At 41.4% G+C, this 14,725-nt stretch overlaps 2 protein-coding genes across 2 annotated transcripts in view; one reads left to right on the top strand and one right to left on the bottom strand.

Moving 5' to 3' along the window:
• The window catches only part of GPHN (gephyrin), a 1,227,209-nt gene that overhangs the window by 382,759 nt on the left and 829,725 nt on the right, over positions 1-14,725 (bottom strand). The gene's annotated exons all lie outside the window — the stretch shown is intronic.
• ATP6V1D (ATPase H+ transporting V1 subunit D) overlaps positions 1-14,725 on the top strand; it is a 21,933-nt gene extending 7,208 nt beyond the window's left edge. The window contains exons 3-9 of the mRNA NM_015994.4: positions 1,907-1,986; positions 3,493-3,560; positions 5,144-5,188; positions 6,726-6,829; positions 9,159-9,225; positions 12,079-12,157; positions 13,835-14,725. Of these exons, the coding sequence (NP_057078.1) occupies positions 1,907-1,986; positions 3,493-3,560; positions 5,144-5,188; positions 6,726-6,829; positions 9,159-9,225; positions 12,079-12,157; positions 13,835-13,976 (585 nt within the window). The 3' untranslated portion in view covers positions 13,977-14,725. The remainder of the gene's footprint in view (positions 1-1,906; positions 1,987-3,492; positions 3,561-5,143; positions 5,189-6,725; positions 6,830-9,158; positions 9,226-12,078; positions 12,158-13,834) is intronic.

Genomic DNA, 14,725 nt, shown 5'->3' with positions numbered 1-14,725 from the left:
GGCTCCTTTAGCTGTTCTAGTCTCTTAAGAGAGGCTGTTCCTGATCACCCAATCTAAAGTGAACACCATGTTTGCTTCTCTCACAATTCCTTATTTTAATTTTATTGTAGCATGTACTACCGCATGGTATGACATTTTATTTCTAGTCTTTTTCTTTTTTTTTTTTTTTTGAGGCAAGGTCTTACTCTGCAGCCTCAAACTGGGCTCCAGTGATCCTCCCACCTCAGCCTCTCGAGTAGCTGTGACTACAGGTGCATGCTACCATTCTCAGCTCATTTTTTTTATTTTTAGTAGAGACGAGGTCTCACTATGTTGCCCAGGCTAGTCTTTTTGACTCCCGGGCTCAAACAGTCTTTCTATCTTGGCCTCCGAAAGTGCTGAGTTTACAGTTTTTGTGTTTTATTTTTAAACCTGTACGTACTTAACAAAAGCATTTTCTATGAGTGCTGTTTTTATTTTTATTTTTTTATTTTTTGTGGAGATGGGGTCTTGCTTTATTACCCAGGGTGGTCTCAACCACCTGGGCTCAAGTGATCATTCCACCTCATCCTTCCAAAGCACTGGGATTACAGGTGTTAGCCACTGTGCCTGGCCCTGTACTACTTTTGATTATTTGTGAAGTTAAGGAGCTTTTCATGCTTATTGACAATTTGATTTTCTTGGTAAATGTCTTCTTTTTTTTTTTGGTAGAGGTTCTATGTGTATTCTGCCTAATGTGTAAAATGTTAAAAATATTTTTTCCACGCCTTTTCTTTTAACTTAAAAAAAAAAGTTAATACTAGGTGTGGTGACTCATGCCTGTAATCCCAACACTTTGGGAGGCCGAGGTGGGAGGATGGTTTGAGCCCAGGAATTTGAGACCAGCCTGGGCAACACAGTGAGACCTTGTCTCTACAAAAAAGAAGAAGAAGAAGAAGAAAATTAGCAGAGTGTGGTGGCATGCACCTGTAGTCCCAGCTACTTGGGAGCCTGAGGCAGGAGGATTGCCTGAGCCTATGAGTTTGAAGCTGCAGTGAGCTATGATTACACCACTGTACTCTAGCCCAGGCAACAAAGTAAGACCTTGTCTCAAAAAATAAAAATAATAAAAAGTTAAAAATGTTTTTCCTTTGGTCAAATCTGTTGGTCTTTTTCTTTATATAGCTTCTGAGTTACATATAAGGCTTAGAAAAGACCTAAAATGATTAAGAAAATATTATGCCACATTTTCTTTTGTTGCTTTACAGTTTTTTTTCTTTAAACCTTTATCTTAATTATGTCTGAATTTTGGGGGCAGTATGATGTGAGGTAGGTAGCTTTATCATTTTGTACTGTATAGACAGTAGAGTGGTCTCTTTACTAAATTTCCATATAGACCTGGGGTTGTTTCTGAATCCTCTAGTCTATTTCATTGACTTAACTGTCCCAAACCAGATATATTAATATTTCCTTATTGTAGCTGTACCTTTTTAATACTTGGGAAGGCAACTCCCTACCCAGCTGACCCAGTTTTTCTTCTCTTTCTGAAACATTATTGAATATTCTCAAACATTAAATATTCCAGATGTACTTTAAAATTAATACACCATTAGGGTTTTGACTGCAACTGCAGTGAATTTAAGAGATTAGTTTGAGTAAATCAGCATGTACCCATTCAGGAATAATATAGGTCCTTCAGTAAAGATTCAGTTTTCTGTTTCTCAATGCATTTATTCTGTTTTAATTATAAAACTCATAGTTTGTAATATTGTTAGTGATCATAACCAAAACTGTTAAAAATTGGAAATTTCTGTTTGTCGTTATCAAACCAATATTTACATGCACAGCCAGCATAAAATACTGATGGTTATTAAAGGAACATAATTATGATGGAATATTTCCTTGTAAAAGGCTTGGTTGAATCTGCTGTTGGTTTATGCTTTTCCAGACTAAAATGTTGATGGGCGAAGTGATGAGAGAAGCTGCCTTTTCACTAGCTGAAGCCAAGTTCACAGCAGGTGACTTCAGGTAAGGGGACTAAACGGGGTGTTTTGAAGCAAAACAAAGTGATTTCAGTCTCATAATTTCATTTAAAAAGCATTTTTTAATTTAGAAATAAGCGTTAAGGACAAATGATATAGTAATAATAAGAAAGAATTCTTTTAACCCCATCACCTTAACTCCACTGTCATCTTCCACATGTAATTCTTACATAGTTGCAGGCGCAGGATACTTAGTATTTTAGAGTCCATTTTCATTTAACGTTGTATCATAAACATTTTTCCTTATTTTCAACATGGCTGTATGATCTTTCTCAAGATGTATTTTTTTTTTCTCCTAATGCTGGGTATTTGGGTTAATTCTCAGTTTTTTGGAATATTAGGGAAAGTGCAGTGAACATTTTTACACATATGTATTTTTGTTTCTACTGAATTATTCCCGTAGGATAAATTTTTGAGAATTGGATTATTTAAAAGGCATGAACTTCATGGCTTTGGTGACATCAGTAAATCCTTTACAAAGCATACAAAATAGCTTGCAAATGTGTTATGCCAATTTACATATGTTATGTAATTCTCCAAATAACACTATGAGATAGGTAAGGCAAGCATTGTTATTCTCAGTTTTAATTAAATGCCTTCCTGAGGTCACTTGGCTAATTAGGGGCAGAGGCAGAAGTTGTTTTCAAGGTTTCTGATTTTATTATTTTCCTAATGACATGATGCCTATTATCTAGGAGCTTTCACTGCTCTTGGGCCTTAATAAGGCCCTTTGAAGTGGTAGGCTTTCATTTTTGCCAGTGCTGGTAAGATCACAGCTTGCATTGAATTTTCTAGCAGAGGGTGGAGATCAATCAATAGTGTATAAGTGGTATGTGAGTGTTTTAGGGTGGTTATGGGGAAGATACTTTCTATAATATTTATTTTTGTTTTGTTTTGAGATTGGGTTATGAGACTGGCTAATTTTTGTATTTTTGAGTTTCACCACATTGCCCAGGCTGGTTTTGAACTCCTGGCCTCAAACAATCCTCCTGCCTCGGCCTCCCAAAGTGCCAGGATTACAGGCGTGAGCTATCGCACCCTGCCAGGAAGGCACTTTCTGGTAACATTTGAGAAGTCACACAAAGCCAGATGGAACATAGTTTCCAGGGTAAAGGAATTGAACGCCAGCTTAACCAATTCAATAGCAAACCTAGAAAGGAGTTTTCTCTATCTCACACTAGCAGAAGAATCCTTAAAGTTATATCCATGTAGCACACCTCTGACTGAAAACATAAGCAATCCACGAACTTTAAAATCATTCTTTGTTCTTTTCTTACTGCTAATGTTTTGAATATTGTTCATTCTCTGCTTTCAGAGGCCCTCCTCTAGCAGTAATGACTTTTCTCCCTTTTTGGAAAAAGGACAGTTATCAAAACATACTTAATTGTGACATCTCACTCTTGGTCTCATTTAATGTTAAAACTATCCAGTGGGTCCCTGTAGGTTTATTTCTGAAGAGTCTGCTAAATAAAGTCTTTCTCTTTTTCTGCAGCACTACAGTTATCCAAAATGTCAATAAAGCGCAAGTGAAGATTCGAGCGAAGAAAGATAATGTAGCAGGTAACGTTTCAACCTTTTAGAAACCCTTTGGGGAGAAAAGAGGTGACATTTTAAAATTAACCTGTTTATACAGCAAGATCTTAATGTCCTAGTTTCTTCCTTCTACTTAGAACAAGTTGATTGGCTTTACATGTTAAAATCATTAACAACCAGGTTTCTAATTACTCAGGATAACTTGACTTTTGTATAGAAGTGAACACTTAAGAAGGCAGGTTCCGGCTGGGCACGGTGGCTCATGCCTGTAATCCCAGCACTTTGGGAGGCCGAGGTGGGCGAATCACAAGGTCAGGAGTTCGAGACCAGCCTGGCCAACATGGTGAAACCCCATCTCTACTAATAATACAAAAATTAGCCAGGTTTGGTGGCACGCGCCTGTAGCCCCAGCTACTTGGGAGGCTGAGGCAGGAGAATCGCTTGAACCCGGGAAGCGGAGGTTCCAGTGAGCCGAGATTGCACCACTGCACTCCAGCCTGGGTGACAGAGCAAGACTCTGTCTAAAAATAAAAAATAAAAAAATAAAGAAGTCAGGTTCCACTGGATGTGGTGGCTCACACCTGTAATCCCAGCACTTTGGGAGGCTGAGGTGGGCGGATCACAAGGTCAGGAGTTCGAGACCAGCCTGGCCAACATGGTGAAACCCCATCTTTACCAAAGAATACAAAAATTAGGCCGGGTGTGATGGCTCACACCTGTAATCCCAGTGCTTTGGGAAGCCAAGGTGGGCGGATCGCCTGAGGTCGGGAGTTCGAGACCAGCCTAATATGGAGAAATCCTGTCTCTACTAAAAATACAAAATAAGCCAGACGTGGTAGCGCATGCCTGTAATCCCAGCTACTTGAGAGGCTGAGGCAGGAGACTCACTTGGACCCAGGAGGCAGAGGTTGTGGTGAGCCGAGATTGCGCCATTGTACTCCAGCCCAGGCAACAAGAGCGAAACTCATCTTTAAAAAAAAAAAAAAATTAGCTGGGCATGGCATGTGCCTGTTGTCCCAGCTACTCAGGAGGCTGAGGTGGGAGAATCACTTGACCCCAGGAGGCGGTGGTTGCAGTGAGCTGAAGACCACACCACTGCACTGCAGCCTGGGCGACAGAGTGAGACTCTGTCTCAAAAAAAAAAAAAGAAGGCAAGTTCCTAAATTCATTAATTGAAACCAATTACAATTCCATACTTAAGCTCTTGATTTTTGAGTTTGATGAAAAAGAAACACAGAAAACAGTGATTAAGAAACAGAATTTAGGCCAGGCGCGGTGGCTCATACCTGTAATCCCAGCACTTTGGGAGGTTTAGGCGGGTGGATCACCTGAGGTCGGAAGTTCAAGACCAACCTTACCAACATGGAGAAACCCCGTGTCTACTAAAAATACAAAATTAGCCGGGTGTGGTGGTGCATGCCTGTAATCCCACCTATTCAGGAGGCTGACCAGGAGAATTGCTTGAACCTGGGAGGCAGAGGTTGCGGTGAGGCGAGATCACGCCATTGCATTCCAGCCTCGGCGACAAGAGCAAAACTCCGTCTCAGAAAAAAAAAAAAAAGAGAGAACTTAAAGGTTTATGAATCCATGTATGCTTCTGTGTTTAACAGGTGTTACTTTGCCAGTATTTGAACATTACCATGAAGGAACTGACAGTAAGTGTGAAACTTTTTGTATTACTTTGTGTCTCTGGGATTTCCTGTTTCCTCTTTAAATGAACTAAGTTCTGGAAAATGGTGCTAGATGTTGAGAGGTTCCTGAGTTAGAAATCCTCTTATTTGATATAGTCAGGACAATAGTTGATCAGTTAATCAAAAGGTCTTAAGGCCGGGCACAATGGCTCATGCCTGTAATACTGGCACTTTGGGAGGCTGAGGCAGGCAAATCTCCATCTCTACAAAAAATATAAAAAATCAGCCAGGTGTGGTGGCACGTGCCTGTAGTTTCAGCTACTTCCAGGGCTGAGGAGGGAGGATTGCTTGAGCTGGGGAGGTAGTTGCAGCGAGTTCTGATCACGCCACTGCACTCCAGCCTGGGCTACAGAGCAAAACCTTGTCTCAAAAAAGAAAAAGGTCTTATGCTAGGAAGTCATAAAACATTATACATATCTTAAAATATTTCAATATTTTATCAGAAATATATCAATGTAGAATCACTTGCTATTTAAAAAATATAAGGCCTTTTGAATATGAATTCACTGATTAGACTTCTGTGTTGTTTTTCTGCATATCCTACACCCACAATGCACTGCTTATAATTCCCAGTTTGGGTCTCTTTAAAGTCAAATAAGATCTTAGACACTGATGCAACCTGAATGCTGATTCTTTCTAGATTTTTATAGCCCACTTCCACTTTTTAAATAACTGTCTTATTCATTCCATTCCTAGTTTGACAGCATATTTTCTTTCCAAAGTAAAGTATTAACTTTTTTCATAGAAACAATATTCTTGGCCAGGCACAGTGGCTCACACCTGCAATCCCAGCACTTTGGGAGGCTGAGGCAGGTGGATCACCTTAGCCCAGGAGTTTGAGACCAGCCTGGGCAACATGGTGAAACCCCGTCTCCACCCAAAAAGTTACAAAAATTAGCTGGGCCTGGTGGCATGCGCCTGTGGTCCCAGCTACTCGGGAGGCCGAGGTGGGAGGATTGCTTGAGCCTGAGAAGTGGAGCTTACAGTGAGCTGAGATCGCACCACTGCACTCCAGCCTGGGTGGCAGAGTGAGACCCCATCTCAATAAATAAATAAACAAATAATATTCTTTCTTTTGGCACTTGTATTTCCTTGCTTCATGTGATATTTAATTAAATCATATAGAATATTAAGTACATTTCATACGAAGAAGTAGAGCATTCTAGAGAGAGTCACCTGTTCACAGAGTGTCATCGTACTCTGGGCATCAGGCAGTATGATTTTCAAAGGGAATAAGGGGCATCAAGCTAGTGAAGTGAAGGTTGGTTAAAAGCTTCCTTTGTAGTTATATTTAGAATAGTATTCTTGTGGGAAACTGTATTTAGTAGCATGCTCCTATAGTGTTTGGGGAGTGAGATAGGCACTTCATGTTTACATTCAATGAAGATTAGTGAATTCATCTTTCCATATTTGTTATTATTCTGAATTATCTCCTTTTGGGGAATTTTATAGGGAAGATATTTTACTCTAATTAAAAATGTTGTCTGACTGGTCCTTTCAGGTTATGAACTGACTGGTTTAGCCAGAGGTGGGGAACAGTTGGCTAAATTAAAGAGGAATTATGCCAAAGCAGTGGAACTACTGGTGGAACTAGCTTCTCTGCAGGTAAGTAGCAAAAGACCTGGAGAACTCCTGTAGTTTGATTTGTAACAGTCAAGTGGAGGAGAGTCAGGTCTTGAGTCAGCATATACTGTGCTTTGTACTTTTAACTGTTCCCATGATCCTATGTAAAGCAAACATAATATTTTGATTTCTGAAGTGATGGCTTTTGTACCATTGTCCCTACTTTTTAAAATTTATGTATTTTTTATTTTTTTGAGATGGAGTTTTACTCTTGTTGCCCAGGCTGGAGTGCAATGGCGCGACCTCGGCTCACTGCAACCTCTGCCTCCTGGGTTCAAGTGATTCTTCTGCCTCAGCCTCCCAAGTAGCTGATTACAGACATGTGCCACCATGCCTGGCTAACTTTTGTATTTTTTGTAGAGACAGGGTTTTGCCATGTTTGTCAGGCTGGTCTCGAACTCCTGACTTCAGGTGATCCACCCGCCTCGGCCTCCCAAAGTGCTAGGATTACAGGCATGAGCCACTGCACCTGGCCCCTACTTTTAATTTAAAAATTTATTTATTTTTCGAAATGGGGTCTCACTGTGTCACCCAGGCTGGAGTGCAGTGGCATAATCCCAGCTCACTGCAACCTTAACCTCCTGGGCTTAAGTGATCCGCCCACCTCAGCCTCCTGAGTAGCTGGGACTATAGGCATGCCCCATCACACCTAGCTAATTTTTGTATTTTTTGTAGAGGTGGGGTTTCACCATGTCGTCCAGGCTGGTCTCGAACTCCTGGGCTCAAGTAATCAGCCCGCCTCATCCTTCCAAAGTGCTGGGATTATAGGTATGAGCCACCACACCCGGCCCCTGCTTCTTCTTGTTAACAAAATGTATGTGCTATGGTACACTCTTGTTTTTTTTGTTTGTTTGTTTGTTTTTTTCTTTGAGACAGAATCTTGCTCTGTTGCCCAGGCTGGAGTGCAGTGTTGCGATCTTGGCTAACTGCAGCCTGGATCTCCTGGGCTCAAGCAGTCTCCCGCCTCAGCCTCCCAAGTAGCTTGGACTACAAGTTTGTGCCACCTCGCCTGGATAATATTTTTGAATTTTTTAGTTGAGATGAGGTCTTGCTACGTTGCCCAGGCTGGTCTCAAACTCCTGGCCTCAAGAAATCCTGCCATCTCAGCCTCCCAAAGTGCTGGAATTATAAGTGTGAGCCACCTCACCCAGCCCAGTTTCACTCTTTGCTAAGTAAGAATAGCAAGTTGATACTAGATTTAAATGTAAATGTAAATAAACATCGTTTGTGCATGGAAGACCATTTTTTCCCCTATGTGGCCAGTTAGTATATATCTAGGTTATTAATGCTTGATTCTTTCTTGTCATTTTTATGTTGTTATTTAGGTGAGACTATAGTAAACAAATTATAATAGTGTCAACTCAAGTAAAGCCTGTTGAAGCAGAAATGATTTGATAAAGGTTTATTGAAAGCCAAATGTGAGGATTGACCCGGGAAGACACCAACAAAGTTGGGTGTGTTCTAGAGTCTGCTACAAGTTGGAAGGCTTTTATGGGAAAGTTTAGGAGAAGGGAGGACTCCTCATACCCAAGTTGTCCTTTTCATTGGCGAGTACAATACAGAGGTCACAATCATTGGCTACAGATTACAAATACAAGCTAAAATGTTCTACATGCAAGTAAATCATGAAGTAAAACTTCATGAATCAGAAACAAATCAGTGTCATTTTCAGCGTCAGTAGGTTGCATATTAATCAGTATGTCAGCAGTCTGAGAAACTTAAGATTTCCTTACTCAGGGACAGGATGTAAACCATGAATCATAAGATCCCTCAATCTGCCCAGGCAGGTTAATTTGGAAACCTACCAAATGTGACATGTAGGTTATCAATAGCATGGAAATAGTGTTAGCCCTATGGAAATCTCACAAGAATTTTGTTTTTGTTTTGTTATGAAGAGACAGGGTCTTACTCTGTCACCCAAGCTGGAGTACAGTGGCACAGTAATAGCTCACTGCAGCCTCAAACGATCCTCCCATCACAGATTACCAAGCAGCTGGGACTACAGGTGCATGCTACTACACCCAGCTAATTTTTAAAATTTATTTCTTGTAGAGGCAAGGTCTCATTGTGTTGCCCAGGCTGGTCTTGAACTCCCAACTTCAAGTGATTCTCCCACCTCAGCCTCCCAAAGTATTGGGGTTATAGGCGTGAGCCATGCGCCCAGCCTAAGAATTTTGTTTTTTAAGCATGCCAAAAAGAAGTTGTCTTGGTTCTCAAATGTTTTCTACAAGTGCAGTCTTAGTGGAGTCAAGTGATCAGGGAATGATTAGGAAGACTTTGTGCTTACATTATTAATTTGTTCTTATTTTAGACTTCTTTTGTTACTTTGGATGAAGCTATTAAGATAACCAACAGGCGTGTAAATGCCATTGAACATGGTGAGTATTAGGTACTGTGAGGTGCTTTGTCACTTGTCCATACCCTCCACTTGTCGTGAAACTGCTAGAATTCAGGGACTGTACTGAAGACTGAAAGATGAATAAGATGCTTCCCTTGCCCACAGTGCAAAGAGAGAAGTGTGTCCATAGTAAAAAAAAAAAGTGTTATGAAGTGTTCTGATAGAAGTACTTGTATGATCTGGGGGAGTTACACACATAGGAAAGTGGTGACTTAAAAATTATGGAATGTTTTCTTCATTTCCAGTTATTCATGCAGTTATTTAAGGGTAGGAATATTTCTCAAGATCCTTAGTGTTTTCTGTAGTTCTTTCTAATGGTTGAGTGATGCAACTTTTTGAGTACATTAAATATTTAACTTTAAATCAGTATAAGCCATTCTCCTTGATTTCTAAAAAATTTCCCATTTGATGCACTTATTTTCCATCTCTTTTATTTCACTATTTAAAAAATATGACTGCTTAGTGTTGATGGTACTTTTTGCTCAATAAACTTAGTTTTTATTAAAGAAACACTCAATTTTAGGTAAGAAAGCAAAATTTGAAGTAAAGAAATTCCTTTGCTTGGGAATTTCTATATTAATGCTAGTGAGAAATATATTAACTATTATATTAACTATGTATAATATGATATATTAACTATATTGTTAGAAATATATTAACTGTTATATTAACTATATATTAACTATATTAATGTTAGTGAGAAAGTTACCTCATTTTTTAAAAAACCTTTTTGACTGCTTGCTAGTGCCAGGCCTTGTACATGAAAGTGGAAGCAAAGAAAAAAAAAAAAAAAAGGATAATTCGTAGTTCTTACCCTCAGAGTTCACATTCTAGAAGCTGAACAGGTAAACTATGTAAAGTCGAGCCTAATGACGTAAACTCAATCGAGCATTCTCTCTGCTCGATTTTTTAACAGTTGATTGCTACTATATTTAAAATAACATCTGTGCTTCAATGTTATATATTCATAGAATTCAGCACATTCAGTGTTGTATTTGTTATGGTCCAATAGGTTATCTATGCATAGAAAAGACACTAGAAGGGTATACACCACCATGTTTACAGTAGTTACTCTTTTGGATGGTTGGATTATACTCTATTTTACTTTTTTTCTTTGTGTTTTTTTTTATTTTATTTTATTTATTTATTTATTTATTTATTTATTTATTTTATTGATCATTCTTGGGTGTTTCTCACAGAGGGGGATTTGGCAGGTCATAGGACAATAGTGGAGGGAAGGTCAGCAGATAAACAAGTGAACAAAGGTCTCTGGTTTTCCTAGGCAGAGGACCCTGCAGACTTCCGCAGTGTTTGTGTCCGTGGGTACTTGAGATTAGGGAGTGGTGATGACTCTTAACGAGCATGCTGCCTTCAAGCATCTGTTTAACAAAGCACATCTTGCACCGCCCTTAATCCATTTAACCCTGAGTGGACACAGCACATGTTTCAGAGAGCACAGGGTTGGGGGTAAGGTCATAGATCAACAGGATCCCAAAGCAGAAGAATTTTTCTTAGTACAGAACAAAATGAAAAGTCTCCCATGTCTACTTCTTTCTACACAGACACAGCAACCATCCGATTTCTCTATCTTTTCCCCACCTTTCCCCCTTTTCTATTCCACAAAACCGCCATTGTCATCATGGCCTGTTCTCAGTGAGCTGTTGGGTACACCTCCCAGACGGGGTGGTGGCCGGGCAGAGGGGCTCCTCACTTCCCAGTAGGGGTGGCCGGGCAGAGGCGCCCCTCACCTCCCGGACAGGGTGGCTGGCCTGGCGGGGGCTGACCCCCCCACCTCCCTCCCGGACGGGGCGGCTGGCCAGGCGGGGGGCTGACCCCCCCCACCTCCCTCCCGGACGGGGCGGCTGGCCGGGCCGGGGGCTGACCCCCCAACCTCCCTCCTGGACGGGGTGGCTGCTGGGCGGAGACGCTCCTCACTTCCCAGACGGGGCGGCTGCCGGGCGGAGGGGCTCCTCACTTCTCAGATGGGGCGGCTGCCGGGTGGAGGGTCTCCTCACTTCTCAGACGGGGTGGCCGGGCAGAGACGCTCCTCACCTCCCAGAAGGGGCGGTGGGGCAGAGGCGCTCCCCACATCTCAGACGATGGGCGGCCGGGCAGAGACGCTCCTCACTTCCTAGATGGGATGGCGGCCAGTCACAGACGCTCCTCACTTTCCAGACTGGGCAGCCAGGCAGAGGGGCTCCTCACATCCCAGACGATGGGCGGCCAGGCAGAGAGGCTCCTCACTTCCCAGACCGGGTGGCGGCTGGGCAGAGGCTGCAATCTCGGCACTTTGGGAGGCCAAGGCAGGCGGCTGGGAGGTGGAGGTTGTAGCGAGCCGAGATCACGCCACTGCACTCCAGCCTGGGCACCATTGAGCACTGAGTGAACGAGACTCCATCTGCAATCCCGGCACCTCGGGAGGCCGAGGCTGGCGGATCACTCGCAGTTAGGAGCTGGAGACCAGCCTGGCCAACACAGCGAAACCCCGTCTCCACCAAAAAAATACGAAAACCAGTCAGGCGTGGCGGCACGCGCCTGCAATCGCAGGCACTCGGCAGGCTGAGGCAGGAGAATCAGGCAGGGAGGTTGCAGTGAGCTGAGATGGCAGCAGTACAGTCCAGCTTCGGCTCGGCATCAGAGGGAGACCGTGGGGAGAGGGAGAGGGGGAGGGGGAGAGGAAGAGCTTCTTTGTGTTTTTATTTTCCAAGTTCTCTGCATTAAATGCACATTAATTTTACAATTAGGAAAAAATAACTGTTATACAAATGAGCACTGATAATTTGAAAAAAGGGGTTTGAAGTTCTCACACATATTATTTTTTTTTTTATTCTAGTCATCATTCCCCGGATTGAACGTACTCTTGCTTATATCATCACAGAGCTGGATGAGAGAGAGCGAGAAGAGTTCTATAGGTTTGTTGAAATTGGCAGTTATTGATCATCTTTTGTTTTCCATATTCCAAAGGCTGTATTTGCTGAATGACTTGTTGGTTTATGTTCTTTAGAATTAGCACAGCTTATGTTTTATTCTGATAAATAAGCAGCAAGAAATATTATTACCAGAAGTTGTGGAAACAAATCTGTCAAATTTTACATGTACCTATAACATGGCATTTCCAAAAACTTAGGCCTTTCAGAGAAACTGTTTAGGTTTGATTTTTTTTTTAAATATATGTTTTAAGATAGTCAAATGCAGTAGTGAAAAGTGGGGAAAGAGTAGAACAAGGAGTTTGATCTGTAACTGATTGTGCGTAATAGAGAGAACTCATTACCTTTGGACAAGCCAAGACTGAATTATTCTTTTTTTTTTTTTTTTTTTTGTGAGACAGAGTCTTGCTCTGTCACCCAGGCTGGAGTGCAATGGTTCGATCTTGGCTCATGTGTCACCATGCCTGGATAATTTTTTTGTACTTTTAGTAGAGATGGTGTTTCACCATGTTGGCCAGGCTGGTCTCAAAACTCCTGACCTCAAGCAATCCACCTGCCTTGGCCTGCCAAAGTGCTGGGATTACACGCATGAGCCACCGTGCCTGGCCCTTGATTATTCTTTAAAATGAAATGATGATTTAGATTGGGTGCCTCCTACATAAAAACTGAGAGAAGAAACTAGAATTCAGCTGTTATTCAACAAATATGTATTTCATGTTCAGGAGAAGGTATAAAGCACCTGGAGGCATTACCAAATAGTATATAAATCACGCCATTAGAGAATTAGCACAGCACTTGGAGAGAAATTATGCATGTCCATGAATTGGTTATGAACATTTAGAGTCAACAGGTATAAATACTAAACTGGTAGTGTACAGGGATCTGTATACTCGGTTCAGAGAAATGGGAGGTAGGTGAGGGCAGGAGTATTTAGGAAAGGCATGGGGGGTCTTAGACCTGGAGTTAGCATCTAACTATGGTCTATAATCTTAATTATCAAAGGTTAGTTTCTGTCCTTCCATGATACTCAGGGTTGTGTTGAGCCAAAATTTTAAAAAAATGCCTGAATGCTCAAAATCTGTTCCATTCGAGAATGGATTTCAAAATTTAACCTAATAAAGGCTTCTAGGCTGGGCTCGGTGGCTCATGCCTGTAATCCCAGCACTTTGGGAGGCCAAGGCGGGTGGATCACAAGGTCAGGAGTTCAAGACCAGCCTGGCCAAGATGGTGAAACCCTCCGTCTCTACTAAAAATACAAAAAATTAGCCAGGTGTGGCAGCATGCGCCTGTATTCCCAGCTACTCGGGAGGCTGAGGCAAGGAATTGCTTGAACGCAAAGGTGGAGGTTGTAGTGAGCCAAGATTGCGTGCGCCACTGCACTCCACCCTGGGCGACAGAGCAAGACTCCATCTCAAAAAAAAAAAAAAAAAAAGGCTTCTGTCTCAGGTTAAATCAGTTATTAGCTTAAAATTATGTATTTTTAGCTTAAAATTATGTTTTTTAAAAAGGATTATAAATAAATTACTGAAAATGAAATTAATAAAAGTACCAGGTTTTTTTCTAGGTATGTGTTTATTATCCTTGTTACAAAACTCAAAGAAATCAAATCTACTTAATATTGAAACAGTGTTTAAAAAATCCACCCCCACCTGTATTTTACAGGTTAAAGAAAATACAAGAGAAGAAAAAGATTCTAAAGGAAAAATCTGAGAAGGACTTGGAGCAAAGGAGAGCAGCTGGAGAGGTGTTGGAGCCTGCTAATCTTCTGGCTGAAGAGAAGGACGAGGATCTTCTATTTGAATAATCTTTCCTGTTCTGGTTCTTTGAGAAACCCTAACACTGGCTTCATTTTAATTCACAGTGTGTAGGTTTGATTTGTGTGGCTATTTATTTTTTGGCCTAAGAATTTCACTGGTTGTAAAATTTACCTAGATGTCTATTTATGGGATTACTTTTGCAGAATCATAATTTAGCAACCATTTATCATGGATGAAAGAGATCTGTAAAACCTGCCCAGGAACTTACAGAATTTACTTTGCAGAAGCGTTATCATACTCCATTTACATCTGTGTTACACGTGATCTGCTTACCAAGCATATTAGGAAATACCTCTTAGGAAGCATTAGCGGTCTCAGGCCAATTACTGTGGAGCAGCTTTCATTCCTACCCACTTGCAAACCTTGGCGCTGTTGTCTGAGATTGCTGCAGCCATTCTTGTTACCATGGTACTTCTCAAACTTTGTGAAAACCTGCACTTTTCCTTGCATGACAGGTTCCTGTCTTGTCTGTCATGGGAGCCATTCTGCCAATTTAAATGCGACTGTGGTATAAACAGTAAAATGATTTAAAAGTAAGTCATTCCGTTTTTATTAATTTACTGTTAAGTCATGTTCTCATGCTCAGATCAGTAGTGTCAGCCAGAGCTTTCTCTGCAGACATGTAGGAAGTGGGTAGCTATTTTTCCCACTCCATGTATTAGAGTTTTACAAAAAGGCTTACTTTTGAGACAACTGTTGCATTTTGGGGTACTAATAAATGATTGCCGATGAGTTA

This window comes from Homo sapiens, chromosome 14, assembly GCF_000001405.40.
Source record: "Homo sapiens chromosome 14, GRCh38.p14 Primary Assembly".
Classification (NCBI taxonomy): Eukaryota; Metazoa; Chordata; class Mammalia; order Primates; family Hominidae; genus Homo; species Homo sapiens.
This window is presented reverse-complemented; position numbering and strand designations above follow the sequence as displayed.